This window comes from Homo sapiens, chromosome 16 (assembly GCF_000001405.40).
Source record: "Homo sapiens chromosome 16, GRCh38.p14 Primary Assembly".
Classification (NCBI taxonomy): domain Eukaryota; kingdom Metazoa; phylum Chordata; class Mammalia; order Primates; family Hominidae; genus Homo; species Homo sapiens.
This window is the reverse complement of record NC_000016.10, coordinates 22,652,331-22,671,552: the sequence shown is the minus strand read 5'-3', so window position 1 is coordinate 22,671,552 and position 19,222 is coordinate 22,652,331. Positions and strand designations below refer to the sequence as shown.

General features: G+C 43.3%; 1 annotated feature.

The window, feature by feature from the left end:
- Positions 6,716 to 6,875: an enhancer, noted in NCBI's record as "active region_10574". NCBI's record gives its function as "activates an Ori minimal core promoter by ATAC-STARR-seq in GM12878 lymphoblastoid cells {active_cell/tissue: GM12878}" and the evidence as "EXISTENCE:reporter gene assay evidence [ECO:0000049][PMID:35858748]".

Sequence of the window (19,222 nt, the reverse complement as noted above, 5' to 3'; positions counted from 1 at the left end):
GAGTATTCCATTGAAATAAGAGTACTTATTCCCAGGCCCGGAAGCCTGAGACCTTCCCCCAGAAATACAGCAGGGGGCCGAGGACTGTAGTGTACCCAAGACCCCACAAAAGACCTAGGGTCAATGGGAGAATCCCAGAGGTGTTACTAGGCTGATGAAATAGACCTCCAACTTCCCCTGGGCTTCCTCAGGTCCCCAACACCATCCAGAAAGGAAATTCAGCACAAATCTTTCATATACTCATACATACTCATCTGAACTTATAGCAGAATAAAAAATAAATAATAATAAAAAAAAACCAGAAGGGTATATAAGAAACAAGTAAGTGCTTACATATAAGCCTGAGGGTGAGAATGGGATGTGAATGAGACTGTCACGTGTATATATTTTTGCATCATGTTGAGTTCTGAACTACATGAATATATTACTCAAGTATTCTCTACTCAAAAAAATAGTAAATTTCTTCATAAAACGCACAGAAATGTATCTAGTTCTTGCCATTAGATTTTTTTTAACTATTGAAAAAGCTCTATATTTATCCTTGAAATTACACAGGGGGCCGATTTGAAGCACAGCTGCATTGCACATGAAACGGCAGTGTGTCCTGGTGACAAATTAATAGAAGTCCCTTTTTCTGGTTTGCTTCTCAGGTCTGCTCTCTCGTTACTAGTAGTCTACTTGCAGCTTCTCCTCTTGTTTTAAACAACTCCCCTTCCTCAGGCAACAGCACCCACCCTCACGCTGGGGAACCTCCCTCCCTCATTCAAAACTGTCGGGTGGGACTGTCAATCAAGAGGCTCTCTGCCTGCCCAGGCATGGTCATGTGACCCAGGCTAAACCAATCAGATTAGCTCTCCCTAGAATAGGCCTGGAGGTGCCCCCCAGGCCCCATTCCGGAGAAACGTGGTAAGGTACCTTAATGGGTTTTCAGTTAGTTCCTGTTGCCTAGATCTTTGAGGCAGCCTTTTCAAAAGAGCTTTCTTTCTATTTTAGCTTTTGTTTTTTTGGCTTAAGTTGGCCAGAATCCATTTTTGTGGCTTGATACTGATGCAGTCAGTGATCCTGCATAAAACTCTCCAGTGCATCCTTGTGGCCTACAACACAAAGGGCAGACAGGACAGACAAGTCCCAATGTGCACAACTGTGGCTCAGCTTCCCCACTTTCCAAGCCCCTGCCTCCCCACTGCCCTATCCCCCCAGCCACCTGCCGCTTCAGTCACATGGAATTCCTGCTCTTTCTCCCAAAGCATGGCATAGATTTCTCTGCTGTATTCCCGCTTCCTCACCTGAAAAATTCCCTACCGATCACTCGAGGCAGTGGATTGCAGTGGATCAGAGTGCGAGTTCTGCTTGGGCAGAATGGCCGTTGGTGATTGCTTTTTCTTAAGTCCTGCTCTCCAAATGTAAGATTGGTCAGTCTCTCCTTCCCTGGAGACGCACGCTAGAATCTACCAGGACTCTGGGGCCAGTTCCTGAGCCCATTACAAGGATCCAGGATGACAGTGATTTTTTTTTTGAGACGGAGTCTTGCTCTGTTGCCTAGGCTGGAGGGCAGTAGCACGACCTCGTCTCACTGCAACCTCCAACTCCCAAGTTCAAGAGATTCTCTTGCCTCAGCATCCCATGTAGCTGGGATTACAGGTATCCGCCACCACACCTGGCTAATTTTTGTATTTTTAGTAGAGACGGGATTTCACCATGTCAGCCAGGTTGGTCTCGAACTCCTGGCCTCAGGTGATCTGCCCACCTCAGCTTCCCAAAGTGCTGGGATTACAGGTGTAAGCCACCGCACCTTGCCCACAGCACTGAATTTAAACATGTTTCTGCCAGTTGACCTTGGACAAAGTGCTTGCTTCATATCCTCAGAGGAGCTTGGTTTGCTTATCTTTGGATGTGAATTCTACCAACTTCACAGCGCGGGTTTATTTATTTAACAAACTCTCTGCACCAGACACTGTTCTAGGTGCTTTACACATATTCGTTGATTTAATACTCGTAATACTCGTAACAACACTATAAGGCAGGTACTATTTGTGTCCCCATTTTGCAGATGAGGAAACTCAGCACAGAGAGGTTGTTAGTTGTCTAAGGTTGCAAAGCTAGTATGGGATGAAATGAAAGACTGCATGGGAATTACTTAGCACAGACAGGAGATAATAAATGTTCCATCAAATTGTAGCTATTTGTTATAGACTAAATTATTGCCCCTCATTCATATGCTGAAATCCTAACCCCCAATGTGAGATATGGCCTGCAAAGGGGTAATTAAGGTTAAATGAAGTCATAAGGGTGGGGCCTAATCCAATAGGATTGGTGTCCTAATAAGAAGAGGAAGAGACACCAGGGATGGGTGTGCACAGAGAAAAGGGCATGTAAGGATGTAGCAAGAAGGTGCCGCCTGCAACCCAGGGAGAGAGGCCTCAAGAGAAAGCAAACTTGCCAACATCTTGATCTTGGACTTCCAGCCTCCAGAACTGTGAGATGTAAATTTCTGTTCTTTCCGCTACACAGCCTGTGGAATTTCATTACGGCAACCCTAGCAAACTCACACACTATTGAAGAAAATATCACTTTGTGGTGGAAATCACAGTTGTTTTTTAAACGTACATCTGACAATGTTACCCCAGGAAGTAAACCCCTTCAGCAACTCCTGTACCATTTCCTGGGAGGAAATTGGGACCAGATCCTCTAAGATGGGCTTATACTATGGCCAAGCCTGGAAGAAGACAGGAACTAAGGCATCCCCAGAGGGTAGAAAAGAGGAATCATAACCAACACAGGATAGCCTGATGTTTAAAAGCATAGGCTCACACTGGGTATAGTGGCTCACCCATAATCCCAGCTATTTAAGAAGCTGAGGCAGGAGGATCGCTTGAGCCCAGGAGTTCAAGATCAACCTGGGCAACATACTGAGACCCCTGTCTCTAAAAAAATAAGGCATGGGCTCTGGAGCCAGACTTCCTGGGTTCAAATCCTGGCCCTGCTACTTACTAATTTTGAGGTTGGCAAGTTACTTAGGTTCTGCATGCCTTGGTTTTCCCCTCTGAGAAATGGGGACAATGATAGTATGTGTCTGATGGTTTTATTATAAGTGTTAAATGAATTAATATAATTAAAGTGTTTTGCATGAGTGCTGGGCACTTAGAGCCATATGGGTGCTAGCTGTTACCATTGATAGTTTTGTGGCTACGAAACCACTATTATAACCAAAGTCTTTCTCTCTGCTCGAGATTCAAATCCTAGGTTGAAAGCCTCAGAGAATCCCAGATCAATTCTCCTATTACTGTCCTATGAATCTGCATCAAATAGAAAAGAGCTTATTCCTCAAAAGGAAACTAAAAGAGCCTAGAAATAAATCCACACACAAATGATCAAATGACTTTCAACAAGTGGACAATGTAATTCAAGAAGAAAAGGACAATCTTCAACACATGGTGTTAGAACAGTTGGATACATATATGCTGCTGAGGCGGGAGGATCGCTTGAGGCCAAGAGTTCAAGACCAGCCTGAGCAACATAGCAAGACCTAAAAAGATCTCTAAAAAACATTTTTTTTAATTAGCTGAGCATGGTGGTGTTGCACATCTGTAGTACCAGCTACTCAGGAGAGGCTGAGGCAGGAGGATTGCTTAAGCCCAGAAGTCTGAGGCTGCAGTGAGCTATGATTGCACCACTGCACGCCAGCCTGGGCAACAGAGCAAGACCCTGTCAAAAAAAAAAAAAAAAAAGAACTTAGGCCCTTACCTCACACACAAAAATTAACTCAAAATACTCAAAATGGATCAGAAACCTAAATATAAGAGCTAAAACTATAAAACATATAGAAGAAAACATAGGAGGAAAACTTGTGTGACCTTGGGCTGGGAGGAAAACTCCTGTGACTTTGAGCTAGGCAAACATTTCTTAGAAATAACCCTAAAAAGTACAATTCATGAAAGAAAAAAATTGACAAGTTAGATTTCATCAGAATTTAACATTTTTGCGCTTTAAAAGATGCCACCAAGAAAAATGAAAAGATAAGCCATAGACTGGAAGAAAATATCTGCAAAACACATAAAGGACCTGTACTGAACACAGTGAATGCTTACACTCGATAATATGAAGATAGATAACCTAATTTTTTAAATAAATGAAAGAATAGACCGTTCACCAAAGAAGATGATATACCAATGAATAATAAGCATATAAAAAGTTGCTCCATACCATTAGCTGTTGCAGAAATGCAAGTTTAAGCCACAATGAGATGCCATGACACACTTAATAGAATGGTTAGATAGAAAAGGCCAACAATACCTAATGTTAGTAAGGACATGGAGTAACTGTAATCCTCATATATTGATGGTAGGAATGTAAAATTGTGCAGCCACTTTTGAAAACAATTGGGCAGTTTTTTAAGTTATGCACCAAATATCCAGCAATTCCACTCATAAGTATTTAATCAAGATTCAAATGCAGGATATATCAGGGCAAAGACATATATCCAATTGCTCAAAGCAGCATTATTCATAACAGCCAAAAAAAGTGGACAATCCAAATTCAAATTCATCTAAATCCATCAATTAGTGAATGGGTAAACAAAATGTGGTGTATACATAAAGCAATAAAAACGAATAAACTATACATACTTAAAACAACATAGATCAGCCGGGCATGGTGGCTCATGCCTGTAATCCCAGCACTTTGGGAGGCCGAGGCGGACGGATCATGAGCTCAGGAAATCAAGACCATACTGGCCAACATGGTGAAATCTCATGTCTACTAAAAATACAAAAATTAGCTGGGTGTGGTGGCACGCGCCTGTAGTCCCAGCTACTCGGGAGGCTGAGGCAGGAGAATTGCTTGAACCCGGGAGGCAGAGGCTGCAGTGAGCCGAGATCGTGCCACTGCACTCCAGCCTGGCGACAGAGTGAGACTCCGTCTCAAAAAATAAATAAATAAATGAACAACATAGATTAATCTCAAAAACATTATGTTAAGTGAAAGAAGACAGACATATAAGACTATATATTGTATGATTCCATTTACATGAAATTTCTAGAAAAAGGGAAACAGTAGAGATGGTAACCACATTGGTGGTTGCCTGGAGCTGGAGGTTGGAGTTGGGATTGACTATAAATGGAAATGAGAAAACTTTTGGGAGAGATGGAAGTTTTCTAAAACTGGATTGTAGAGATAATTGTGGCATTATATGAATTTGCTAAAACTCATCGAACTGTACATTTTAAACGGGTGAATTTTAATGTATGTAAATTATACCTCAATAAAGCTGTTAAAAAATAAATAATAAACCATGAAAAAATAAGCAAGAGAAAAGAGGAAACCATGATGCTGTTAGATTGGGGATTATATGGTTTGGATATTTGTCCCCTCCAAGTCTCATGTTGAAATGTGATCCCCAGTGTTGGAGTGGGACCTGGTGCGATGTGTTTGGGTCATGGGGGTGGATCCCTGATGAATGGCTTGGTGCCCGCCTTGCAGTAATAAGTGAGTTCTTGCTCTTAGTTCACATGAGATCTGGTTGTTTAAAAGAGTCTGGCACCTCCCCCTCTCTCTCTTGCTCCCTCTCTTGCCATGTGACACATGGGCTCCCCCTTCGCCTTTCGCCATGATTGGAAGCTTCCTGAGCTCCAAGACAGCACCATGCTTCCTGTACAGCCTGCAAAACTGTGAGCCAAAATAAACCCCTTTTCCTTATAAATTACCCAGACCCCAGACTTAGGCATTTCTTTACAGCAATGCAAAGCAGACTAACACAGGGGGAAAGGATGCTGGACTGGGAGAGAAAAACACTCACATATATTACCCATTTTTACACATTAGGAAAATAAGAAACAATGACTTGCCCTATGTCACCCAGCTAGTAAGTGGGGGAGCCCAGATGCAAACTCCCAACTCTTTGGCCCCAAACGCATGCTCTTAACCCCTCCGCCATGTGATCTTTCTTCCCTTTTGCACAGCCTCTCACCAGTCAGCCCCACTGTATGTAGGGAGACCATGAGGGACTCTTCTCACATTGCTACGTGAGCAGAATCCTCATCTGTCTGACATCTGCTGAAAACACAAGCAAAAGACACTCTGAGGCCTGATGTCTTCCGACGGTTCATTGAAGTTGCAGTTGTTACTTTCCCTTGAACTGTGCAAACGCTTGGTGTGCTCGGGTTGATTTGGTGCTTTTTGTATATTGCTCATCTGGCAGAGAATTACTACTCTGCTCTACAAGTTCCCACAGATGGCTTTATTTTCCATTGCTATTAAATTGGTTTTGAACAAGACATAATTCTTCAAGTGCCTGGTGTGCTCTCTGGGTTTGCTCAGGCAAGATTCCATAAAAATGTAAATAATCGGAACACTTCTGGGATTATTTATCACAACTGACTTGTGGCTGTAAATTTATGTATTAATTTCAGCTATAAGCTTCAGTGGGGAAAAGATGAACCATTGAAAATAGTCTCTTCCACCCTAACATCCTCGCTATGTCCCCATTTCCCCTCTGCTTCCAGGGAACGTACCAGAGAATGGCTCACACATCTGGGTCTGAACGACATTGAACAGGCTCGAAAAGGAACCAGGTGGTAAGTGGGGAATAATCACTCCTCAGCAACCCACAGGCTCATCACTTACTGCTCTCCCCTGGGTCTTCGGACCCCAGTCACACCAGCCTTTCACTTGCTCCTGTGGATTCCTGCCCCAGGACCCTTGCACATGCACCCCAGGCTTGTAATGCTCCTTCTTCCCTTTTATGCCTGGTTCACTCTTACTCATCCTTCAGCTCTTGGCTCAGCGTCACTTGTTTGGAGAAGCTTCATCCCCGCCCACCTGCTAGACGAGGTCTCCTCCCAGGTGTTCTTCTCATCCACAGCGCTACTCACAATCACAGTTCCTCATTTTGGGAGGATTTTTAAAACTTAATGTCTGTCTCCCCTACTTGGCTGTAAAAATTTCATGAGGGTTAGGGCTGTGTCTTTGTCGCCTGCATGCCCAGAGCCTGGCACAGAGTTGAAGATGGATGAATGTGTGCAGAACAAACTAATGGATCCACTTGGAATAAGAGCACATAGCAGGGCTCTTGGGGCCTCTGCCCACACGCACTCAGACCACGCTCTGCACACAGCTCCTTGTGTGCTTTCTCTTAGCCAGCACCTGCATGTTGGCAGAGGGCTGCTCTCACTTTGCCTGTGTGTGCTGAGACTGGAGTGCCTGGGAATTTGCACTCCCCTTGGAGGCCAGCCCTTAACCAATTAGTGGTGAAGGCAGGCTTAGAAGCATGCCAGCTGGCCGGGTGGAATGGCTCATGCCTGTAATCTCAACACTTTGGGAGGCCAAGGCAGGAGGATCACTTGAGGCCAGGAGTTCAAATCCAGCCTGGGCAACACAGCAAGACCCTATCTCTACAAAAAAAAAAAATTAAAAATAGCCGGACATGGTGGTGAGTGCCTATAGTCCCAGCTATTTGGGAGGCTGAGGCAAGAGAATTGCTTGAGCTCAGGAGTTTGAGGCTGCAGTGACCTATGATCGCACCATTGCAGTCCAACCTTGGTGACAGAGCAAGCCCCTGTCTCTGAAACATCACGCCAGCTCTCTTGTCTTGATCGGAAAACTGCAAGGAGCAGCCTGAACTCTCCCTGGAGCTGTCCTGGGGACTGAGCCACAGCAGTCCTCCTGTAGGACCTTGCTTGATCCAACACCCTTCTTGGCTTCTTCTCTTCTCCATTCTATTTTCCCACTCCCCTACTAGTGTTTCTGAGAACCCCTCATAATAAATCACTTTTACACAAATCCTCGTCTCAGCGTCTGCTTCCAGGGAGCCCAACCTAAAACAGAGAGTCTTCTGCCTGCAAATATTCTCACTGAGCTGTGATTAAGATCATACATTTTAGAGCATGCAAGCACTCTAACCAGACAGGCCATTTGCTGATTCAGACAAGGATAAAGTCCTGCTAGTAACACTGTAACTGGCAGGGCATATTCATGTCAACAAGCTAAGCCCCTCTAGTCTTGAACCTTCTCCCCGACTAGCCCAGTGCCCCACTGAGACAGCATGAGAAGTCTGTGCCACTGAGATCCCAACCAAACTGGACATTGGAGCTCAGCAGCAAGACTGACTTGGGGGTAAGCCAAGATCATCTTTAAGATGCTCCTGCTCCTTCTCAAGGTAGGTGAATAGCTAGAGCCCAGAAGCTCGAGACCAGCTTGGGCAACACAGTGAGATCCCATCTCTACAAAAAATAAAAAATTATCTGGGCATGGTGATGCACACCTGTTGTCCCAGCTACTTGGGAGGCTGAAGTAGGAGGATTGCTAGAACCTGGGAGGTGGAGGCTGCAGTGAGCCATGATTGTGCCACTGCACTCCAGCATGGGTAACACAGTAAGACCCTGTCAAAAAAAAAAGAAGAAGAAGAAGAAGAAGAAGAGGAAGAAGAAGAGGAAGAAGAAGAGGAAGAAGAGGAAGAGGAGGAAGAGGAGGAAGAGGAGGAAGAGGAGGAAGAGGAAGAAGAAGAAGAAGAAGAAGAAGAAGAAGAAGAAGAAGAAGAAGAAGAAGAGGAAGAAGAAGAAGAAGAAGAGGAAGAAGAAGAAGAAAAGATGTTATGTGCGACCAGGGCAGGGCAGAACCAAGCTTTTGGGTGGAGAGAAGGAGGTTCCTCTGACTAGAGGATCTTAGGGGGCTGAGGTGCAGGCTGTTAAGGTTTTTGTAGCAAGGATGTCTTCAGCTTTAGGACACAGACTACCTAATTTTAAAAAGGCTTACATAATAGAGACATGTTTATTGAAGGAATTGCTATAAAGCAAAATAACAGGGTGTTGTGGAAGAGAAAATCAGAAGTCAATGCAGATGGTGTTGGCAAAAGCCTCTCTAAGGAAGGTGCATTTAAATCAAGACCAGAAGATGGAGAGGGATCAGCTGTTTCACAAGAGCACAGTGGCCCCTAGAGATGTTCACGTCCCGATCACCAGAACCTGTGAACATGTAACCTCACATGGCAGTAAAGACTTTCTGGATGTGATTAAACTAAGAATCATGAGGTGGGTGATCATCCTGGATGATTTAGGTTGTTCCACTGTAATCACAAGGGTCCTTAATAAGGGAAGGAGGGAGACAGGGGGGTGGTCAGAGAAGGAGACGTGATGATGGAGGCAGAGGTCAGAGTGATGTAGCCATGAGCCAAGGCATGCAGGCTGCCTGTACCTCTGGAAAAGGCAAGGAAACAGATTATCCTGAGAGCCTCCAGAAAGAATGCCCCTTGATTTTAGCCCAGGGAGATCCATCTTGGACTTCTGACCTACAGAACTGGAAGATAAGAAATGTGTGTTGTTTTAAGCCACTAAGTCCGTGGTCATGAAGTCACAGCACAAAGAGGAAATTAACACAAGTGTCACCTCAGAGGGATCAGCATGTACACAGTCCTGAGGCAGGAGGGCTTTTATTTGAGAAATGTGAAACAGATCCATGTGGCTGGTACCCAGTGGGCCAGGAGGTAGAAGTGGACAAGATGATGCAGGCCCTCATGTACCACCCTCCACAGGAAGTTGGGATTTTATTCTAAGATTGACGGGAAGCCATTAAAAAGTGTTTGTGGGGCAGGGTGTGGTGGCTCACACCTGTAATCACAGCACTTTGGGAGGCCAAGATGGGTGGATCAGTTGAAGTCAGGAGTTCGAGACCAGCCTGGCCAACATGGTGAAATCTCATCTCTATTAAAAATACAAAAATTAGCTGGGTGTGGTGGCACATGCCTGTAATCCCAGCTACTCGGGAGGCTGAGACAGGAGAATCACCTGAACCCAGGAGGTGGAGGTTGCAGTGAGCTGAGATCGTGCCACTGCACTCCAGCCTGGGCGACAGAGCGAGACTCCAACTCAAAAAAAGAAAAAAGAAAGTGTTTTTGGTTTTTGTTTGTTTTTGTTTTTGTAGATGGGATCTAGCTCTGTTGTCTAGGCTGTAGTGCAGTGGAACAATCATAGTTCACTGCAGACTCTTGCCTCAGCCTCCCAAGTAGCTAGGACTACAGGCAAGCACCACCATGCCCAGCTAATCTTTCAACTTAAAAAAATTTTTTTTTGAAAGACGGGGTCTCACTATGTTGCCCAGGCTTGTTTCAAACTTCTGGCCTCAAGCGATCCTCCTTCCTTGGCTCCCCAAAGTGCTGGGATTACAGGCGTGAGCCACCATGCCCATCCCCATTAAAAAGTTTTAATGTAATCTGATCTTCATGTTTCCAAGACCACTTTGGCTGCTGTGTGATGATGGGGGCGGTGGGGAGGCTGTGGTGAGGACCCGTAAGAGCAGAAGCGTAGAGTTCAGTCTGGAGGCTGTGAAAATAATCCAGGAAGGCAACACAATGGCCTCTATCAAGGCGGTAGGGATACAGGTAAGGAGATGGCTGCAAGATATATCTCAGACTCTGATTTATTGGCTCTGAAAAAATCAAATAAAATAATTTGGACATCTTAGTGCCAGAGGCCCTTTGATTAAATAAAAGCCAGCTTTTCAGAGACCACATGTTGGGTCCTCACAGTGACAAACAGAGCCACCACACAGGCAGTCCCCAGCGCAGGGACTTGGGGATGTTCGGGCAGCACACAGAGAGGTAAAAGGAAAATGTATGTTCCTTCCTAAGTGTCCAGCAACAAATGACTGCCCGGCAAGAAAGAAATTTAGAGTGCAGAAGGATGGTCTTGCCACACTGTGAAACTAGAAGTCAGATATGATTTACGGGGACAATGACTTAATCTCCTAAACCACCATCAAGTCCTGACCTGTCTCAGTTCCATAAAAATCTCTAGTTCAGTCTCCAATTTGAAGTTACAAAAATGAGTTTGGATCCTTCAGGAATTCAGATTTACTGTTAAGTCTATCCAAAGACCTGCCAACAGATGTTAGAGGGTTTTGGAAATGTTAGAGACTCATGCCTACTGACAGAAGTGTTAAGTAGAATCAGTGTTCCCATTTTATTTTTAAGCCAGGAGGGGAGATCGTGTTTGTCCTAGGGTGACTTTCCTGAGTACCTTCTGTTCCTCACAAGAAATAATAATCATAATGAAGAAGTTAACAACCAAGCAACAACAGATACCATTTCTGGAGCACTTACTATGTACAACATTAGGAGACAGACCTATTATCACCCCCACTTTAGACTTGAGGAAACAGAATCTCAGAAATATTTGCCAATGACTTACAAGGAAGCAGTGGAGATGGGTCTAACTATGAAAACAAGTTCTAAAACCAGAGATCTGCAAACGATGGCCTGTGGGCAAAATCCCACCTGCCCTTGTTTTTGTAAATAAAGTTTTATTGGAACATAAAACATGACCATTTGTTTACCTACTGCCTATGGCTGTTTTCCCACTCCAAGGGCAGGGCTGAGTCCTTGCCAAAAGAGACCAGATGGTCCACAGAGCCTAAAATATTTACTGTCTGTCCCTTTACAGAAGAAGTTTGCCAATTCCTGTTCTAGAACATACATTGCACAGCGAGCGTTTCCTCATAACTCCTCCTCCTACTCCTTCAGGACATTTCTATACCATCCACCCCACTCACAAGTTGGAGACCTATTCCAGATGGTTGAGTGGGACTCCCGGGATCCTCCCACTCCCACAGCCAGCTTGCAAAGACCCCTGGCATCCTTCCGTCTTTTTTTTTTTTTTTTTTTTTTTTTTGAGACAGAGTCTCACTGCAAACTCACTGCAACCTCTGCCTCCTGGGTTGAACCAATTCTCCTGCCTCAGCCACCTGAGTAGCTGGGACTACAGGTGCACGCCACCACGCCTGGCTAATTTTTGTATTTTTAGTAGAGACAGGGTTTCACCATGTTGGCCATGCTGGTCTCTAACTCCTGACCTCAAGTGATTCCCCTACCTTGGCCTCCCAAAATGCTGGGATTACAGGTGTGAGCCACTGCGCCTGGCCCCAGCTGGCTTCCTTCCTCCTTGTCCTGCTCTGTTGTTGAGAGGAGGGGTAGGGTGAAGCCTAGGCCATCACAAGCAGGACTCCTGGAAAACTTGTGCCTCCTACACCAGTTCTGCTACCTCAGGGAATGAGCCAGTGGACTTACCTGTGGAGCACTCACCTGGGGAGCACACATCCCACAAGTGATTTCTTAAGAAGTACTCGTGCTATGTACAGGCAACCATAGGGCCCTGAGCTGCATGAGTTCTAGGAAACACTCATCTCAAGTCTGACTTTTATCGCACGAAGTCTTTCCATGAGGGGCCCTTATAGAAACTCTATGCAGCCAGCTGGAGGAGAAATAAGGATGGAATGCCTAGGGTGACCATCCCACAGCCCTGTCCCAAAGCCAGCAGGAATAGATGCAAAGGGAAGATGAGGGTCAGAGGCAGACACTGTAGATTCCTCTAACTTTCCAGCAACTGTATTCACAGCCTATTCTGGCCTTACTAGATCTATGTTGCTCCTTTGCTCCAAGTTCCACTTGCTCTTTGATTTTTTAAATATTTTCTTTGGGTGGGGCATGGTGGCTCATGCCTGTAACCCCAGCACTTGAGGAGGCTAAGGCAGGAGGATCACTTAAGGCCAGGAGTTGGAGACCAACCTGGGCAACATAACAAGACCTCGTCTCTACAGAAAAACAAAAAACAAGAATTAGGCAGGCATAGCTGCACAAGACTGTAGTCCCAGCTACTTTTTTTTTTTTTTTTTAATTTTTATTTTTTTATTTTATTTTATTTTTTTTTTTTTGAGACGGAGTCTCGTTCTTTCACCCAGGCTGTAGTGCAGTGGCGCGATCTCGGCTCACTGCAGGCTCCGCCCCCCGGTGTTCACGCCTTCTCCTGCCTCAGCCTCCTGCGTAGCTGGGACTACAGGCACCCGCCACCTCGCCTGGCTAATTTTTTGTATTTTTAGTAGAGACGGGGTTTCACCGTGTTAGCCAGGATGGTCTTGATCTCCTGACCTTGTGATCTGCCCGCCTCGGCCTCCCAAAGTTGCTGGGATTACAGGCGTGAGCCACCGCTCTTGGCCATAAATAAATTTTTAAAACATCAGTAATAAAATAGTTTTTAAAATTTCTTCTAGTTGCTATAAAAGTTAAATAACTAATAGTGACAATGTTTATGTATTTGTATCATATGTAAGAGTAAAGTGTATAACAACAATGGCACAAGGGGTGGGAAGGAGGAATTGGGAAAACACTGGCATGAGGTTCTAGCAAAAAACATGAAGGAGTATAGTATTATTTGAAGATGGACTTATCTAAATTAAAACTTCATATTAGTCCATTCTCACGCTGCTATGAAGAAATACCTGAGACTGGGTAATTTATAAAGAAAAGAGGTATAATTGACTCACAGTTCCACATGGCTGAGGATGCCTTAGGAAACTTACAATCATGGTGGAAGACACCTCTTCACAGGGCAGTGGGAGAGAGAATGAATGCAAGCAGCGGAAATGCCAGATGCTTATAAAACCATCAGATCTAGTGAGACTCACTCATTATGACAAGAACAGCATGGGGGAAACTGCCCCCATGATTCAATTCCTTCCACCTGGTCCTGCCCTTGACACGTGGGGATTATGGAAATTACAATTCAAGGTGAGATTTAGGTGGGGACACAGAGCCAAACCATATCAAACTTACATTACAAACCCTATTTTTTTTATTATTTTTTTTTATTATACTTTAAGTTTTAGGGTACATGTGCACATTGTGCAGGTTAGTTACATATGTATACATGTGCCATGCTGGTGCGCTGCACCCACTAACTCGTCATCTAGCATTAGGTATATCTCCCAATGCTATCCCTCCCCCCTCCCCCCACCCCACCACAGTCCCCAGAGTGTGATATTCCCCTTCCTGTGTCCATGTGATCTCATTGTTCAATTCCCACCTATGAGTGAGAATATGCGGTGTTTGGTTTTTTGTTCTTGCGATAGTTTACTGAGAATGATGGTTTCCAATTTCATCCATGTCCCTACAAAGGACATGAACTCATCATTTTTTATGGCTGCATAGTATTCCATGGTGTATATGTGCCACATTTTCTTAATCCAGTCTATCATTGTTGGACATTTGGGTTGGTTCCAAGTCTTTGCTATTGTGAATAATGCCTCAATAAACATACGTGTGCATGTGTCTTTATAGCAGCATGATTTATAGTCATTTGGGTATATACCCAGTAATGGGATGTCTGGGTCTACCATCAGAGTGAACAGGCAACCTACAACATGGGAGAAAATTTTTGCAACCTACTCATCTGACAAAGGGCTAATATCCAGAATCTACAATGAACTCAAACAAATTTACAAGAAAAAAACAAACAACCCCATCAAAAAGTGGGCGAAGGACATGAACAGACACTTCTCAAAAGAAGACATTTATGCAGCCAAAAAACACATGAAAAAATGCTCATCATCACTGGCCATCAGAGAAATGCAAATCAAAACCACTATGAGATATCATCTCACACCAGTTAGAATGGCAATCATTAAAAAGTCAGGAAACAACAGGTGCTGGAGAGGATGTGGAGAAATAGGAACACTTTTACACTGTTGGTGGGACTGTAAACTAGTTCAACCATTGTGGAAGTCAGTGTGGCGATTCCTCAGGGATCTAGAACTAGAAGTCCCAGCTACTTGGGAGGCTGAACACAAGGAAATTGAGGCTGCGTTGAACCATGATCTGCACTGCACTCCAGTCTGGGTGACAGAGTGAGATCCTGTCTCAATAATAATAATAATAATAAAACATTATCTTTGCGTTATTTATTCCTTATTTACTACTTTTGCTAATAGGTAAAGTAACATCGTGGTGAGGCACGGTGGCTCATGCCTGTAATCCCAGCATTTTGGGAGGCTGAGGTGGGCAGATTACTTGAGGTCAGGAGTTCAAGACCACACTGGCCAACATGGTTAAACCCCGTCTCTATCAAAAATACAAAAAGTAGCCGGGTGTGATGGTGCATGCCTGTAGTCCCAGCTACGCGGGAAGCTGAGGCAGGAGAATCGCTTGAACCCAGGAGGTGGAGGTTGCAGTGAGCCGAGATCATACCACTGCACTCCAGTCTGGGCGACAGAGTGAGACTCTGTCTCAAAATAATAATAATAATAACAATAATAATAAAGTAACACGTGGTTAGGTATCTGTTCCATTTCCCTGGCTTTGAATTTTTAGCCATCCCACCTTGTTTTAATTGTTAGAGCTTTGAAATAAGTCATTATATCTCATGTTCCCACCTTTCTCAAATTGTTCTAATTGAACCACAGGATTATTTTATTAAGCTACTAAAAACTGTAAATTCCATATGTTGAGTCTGTCAGCTAATTTTGGAAGAATTTAAATCTCTAAACTCTTTAGGTTCCAATGCAAGCAACTGAAACCTCTCTTTATTTATTTAAACCATCTGTATTGCTCTGTAAATTTTTATAGTTTTTCCTCATGTACATCTTATGTTACATACAGACTGGTTATTTTATTTTTTCATTGCTATTGCACAAAATACTTTTAATAATCGTTTCCTTATTTGTTACTGATTTTCAGAGGTTTATCTCACATCTGACCACTTTCCTGAACTGTCTTATTGAGATTGTTATAATTCTTATCATATAATCATGTCACTTATAAATGATAAATTGGTTTCTTTCATTCTCATAGTTCTGTCTCTTATTTCTCACTTACACCATTGGTCAAAAACTTCACAGCAGGCCAGGAATGGGGGCTCAGGCCTGTAATCCTGGCACTTTGGGAGACTGAGGCGGGAGGATCACTTGAGCCCAGGAATTCAAGACCAGCCTGAGCAATATAGTGAGGCCTCATCTCTTAAAAAATAAAAAATAGCTGGGTATAGTGGTGTGCACCTGTAATCTCAGCTACTCAGGAGGCTGAGGTGGGAGGATCACTTGAACCTGGGAAGCTGAGGCTGCGGTGAGTGGAGATCATGCCACTGCACTCCAGCCTGGGTGACAGAGCAAGACCCTGTGTCAAAAGAAAAAAAAAATCACAGCACACTTAGATCAGTAAATGAAAGGATATTAGTTGACTAGGGCTTCCTAATGAAGTACCACAACCAGGTGGCTTACACAACAGAAATTTATTTTCTCCTGGTTCTAGAAGCTAGAAGCTTAACATCAAGGTGTCAGCAGGGTCTGTTTCTTCTGAGGCCTCTCTCCTTGGCTTACAGATGGCCATCTTCTCCCTGTGTCTTCACATGGTCTTGCCTCTGTACATGTCAGTGTTCTTATTTTCTCTTTTTATAAGGACATCAGTTATATAGGATTAGTACCCACCATAACGACCTCACTTCAACATATTTACCTCCTTAAAGGTAATGTCTCTAGACATATTCAGAGGCATTTGGGGTTAGGACTTCAACATAAGAATTTTGGAGAAATGGGTCGGGTGTCGTGGCTCACACCTGTAATCCCAGCCCTTCGGGAGGCCGAGGCGGGTAGATCACCTGAGGTCAGGAGTTCAAGACCACCCTGGCCAACATGGCTAAACCCCGTCTCTACTAAAAATACAAAAATTAGCTGGGCGTGATGGCAAGCACCTGTAATCCCAGCTACTCGGGAGGCTGAGGCAGGAGAATCACCTGAACCCAGGAGGCGAAAGTTGCAGTGACCCTAGATCGCACCACTGCACTCCAGCTAAGGTGACAGAGTGAGACTCTGTCTCAAAAAAAAAAAAAAAAAAAAGGAATTTTGTGGAAATGCAATTCAATCCATAACAGTGAACATTTCTTGTCTCTAATAGGAAGATATCTGATGTTTCTTCAAGCCTGATGTGTACTTTGATTTAAAAGAGATATTTTTATCACATTTCTATCTCAAATTTTCAAAGAGCTTTTTTATCAGGAATGGATATCAGGCCTATTGAATGCCTTTTGGTACTTATTGACTAAATCATACAGAATTTTTATCTCTTCTTTTGATAGAATACATTAATAGATTTCCTGTTATTAAACAGTCCTGGGTCGGCATTGAGAATATAAAAAGAAATCCTACAAATCAATAGGAAAGGGATTTTTTTAAAATCTAGTATAAATTAGACAATGGATACAGACAGACAATTCTGAATATGGGAAGTACTCCAGATCAGTAAACACTGGAAAAATTTCCACCTCACTAGTAATCAGGGAAATGCAAATAAAAATGGGAATAAAATCGCATCCCACACAAGAGTTAGCAAGAATGTGGAATACAGAACTCTCACACTCTGTTGATAGGACAGTAAACTGCCACAACCTTATTCACACATGGCAGTGTAAAAAATGTGCACCGTGTTTGTTATAGCATTGTTTATAATAGCTACCGAAAAAAATAAAACAACCCAAATTTGTCTTAGTTCAGGCTGCTATAACAAAATATCATAAACTGGGTAGCTTATAAACAACAGAAATGTATTGCTCACGGTTCTGGGGGCTGGAAGTCTGAGATCAGGGTGCCAGCATGGTCGGGTTCTGGTAAGGGCTCTCTTCCGGATTGCGGGTGGCTACCTTCTTGCTGTATCCTTACATGGGGGAATGAGGGAAAGAAAGCTCCCAGGGGCTGTTTGTGTAATGGCACTAACTCCATTCATGAGGCTTCACCCTCGTGACCTAATCACTTCCCAAAGGATCTACCTTCTAATACTATCAAATCGGGAGTTAGGATTTCAACATTTCAATTTGGGGGACAAGGGACACAAACATTCAGTCTACATGTAAAAAATTATAAATAATGGCACTTTTTTTTTTTTGAGATGGAATCTTGCTCTGTTGCCCAGGCTGGAGTGCAAAGGCATGATCTTGGCTCACTGCAACCTCTGCCTCCCGGGTTCAAGCGATTCTCCTGTCTCAGCCTCCCGAGTAGCTGGGACTAAGGCACGCACCATCACTCCCGGCTAAATTTTGTATTTTTAGTAGAGTCAGGGCTTCACCATGTTGGTCAGGCTGGTCTCGAACTCCTGACCTCATGTGATCCACCCACCTCCGCCTCCCAAAGTGCTGGGATTACAGGCATGAGCCACCATGCCCCACCAGTACATTTATACAATGAATGAGCTAGATCTACTTGTATCAACATGGATAATCTCAAAAACAGAAGGCTAAATGAACAAAAGCCAGTTCCACAGGAACACACCTAGAATAAAACCAGTTATGGAATTTTAAAGAACATACAAGATAATATGTAGCTAAATATTGATGGATACTTATAAAAGTGGTAGGGATATGAAACATATATTGGAAAGATAAATACCAACTTCAAAATAGTCCTTATCTCTGGTTTTTGCAATTTATAGGGGATGGAAAAAGGAAGAGAAGAAAACCCAGGAGGGGTACAAAAAGTGTCACTGTAACCTATAAGATTTTATTATTTTTTTTTTAATAAAATGATTTGAAAAACAAACGTCTTTGCATTCCTAGGCTAAATCCTCCTTGGTCATGGTTAGTGACTCTATTAATGTATTATTGAATTCTGTTTGCTATTATTTTATTTATAGTTTTTCATCTAGTGCCTTGGTCTTCTGTTCTATTTTTTTTCCACTATACTCTTCAAGATTGAATTTCAGGGTTGTATCGTTCTCGTAAAATGAATTAGAAAGTTTTCCATGGTTTTCTATAATCTGGAACCATTCATTGAGTATAGGAATAAATTTGTCACCAGAAAATTTGAAGAGAACAAATACATTAGAAAAATCTGTTTAAGGAGGCTATTTTAAAATGACCATTTGATAATACTTTAACTTTTCTATTTTTATTTATTTTATTTTTTAAAGAGATGGGGTCTTATTCTGTCACCCAGGCTGGAGTGCAGTGGTGTGATCATAGCTCACTGCATCTTCAAACTCCTGGTCTCAAGGGATCCTACCACCTCAGCCTCCGAAGTAGCTGGAAATACAGGTGCACACCTCCAAGCCCAGATAGTTTTTTATTTTTTGTAAAGATCAGGATCTCACAATATTGCCCAGGATGGTCTCAGACTCCTGGCCTCAAGCAATCCTCCCACCTCGGCCTCCCAAAAAGTTGCTGGGATTACAGGTGTGAGCCAGCATGCCCAAGCACTTTTTATTTTTGTATATTTTTTTTATTCCAGACATTACTTTTTCATAATTCAATTTTTGTAATTCATATTTTATTAAAAATATCTGCATCATTGAATCATTTGTATTTCCTTACATAGAGTCACACTGTAACATCTTGGTGATTTTTTTTTTTTTTTTTTTTTTTGAGGCAGAGCCTCTCTCTGTTACCCAGGCTGGAGTGCAATGACACAATCTCGGCTCGCTGCA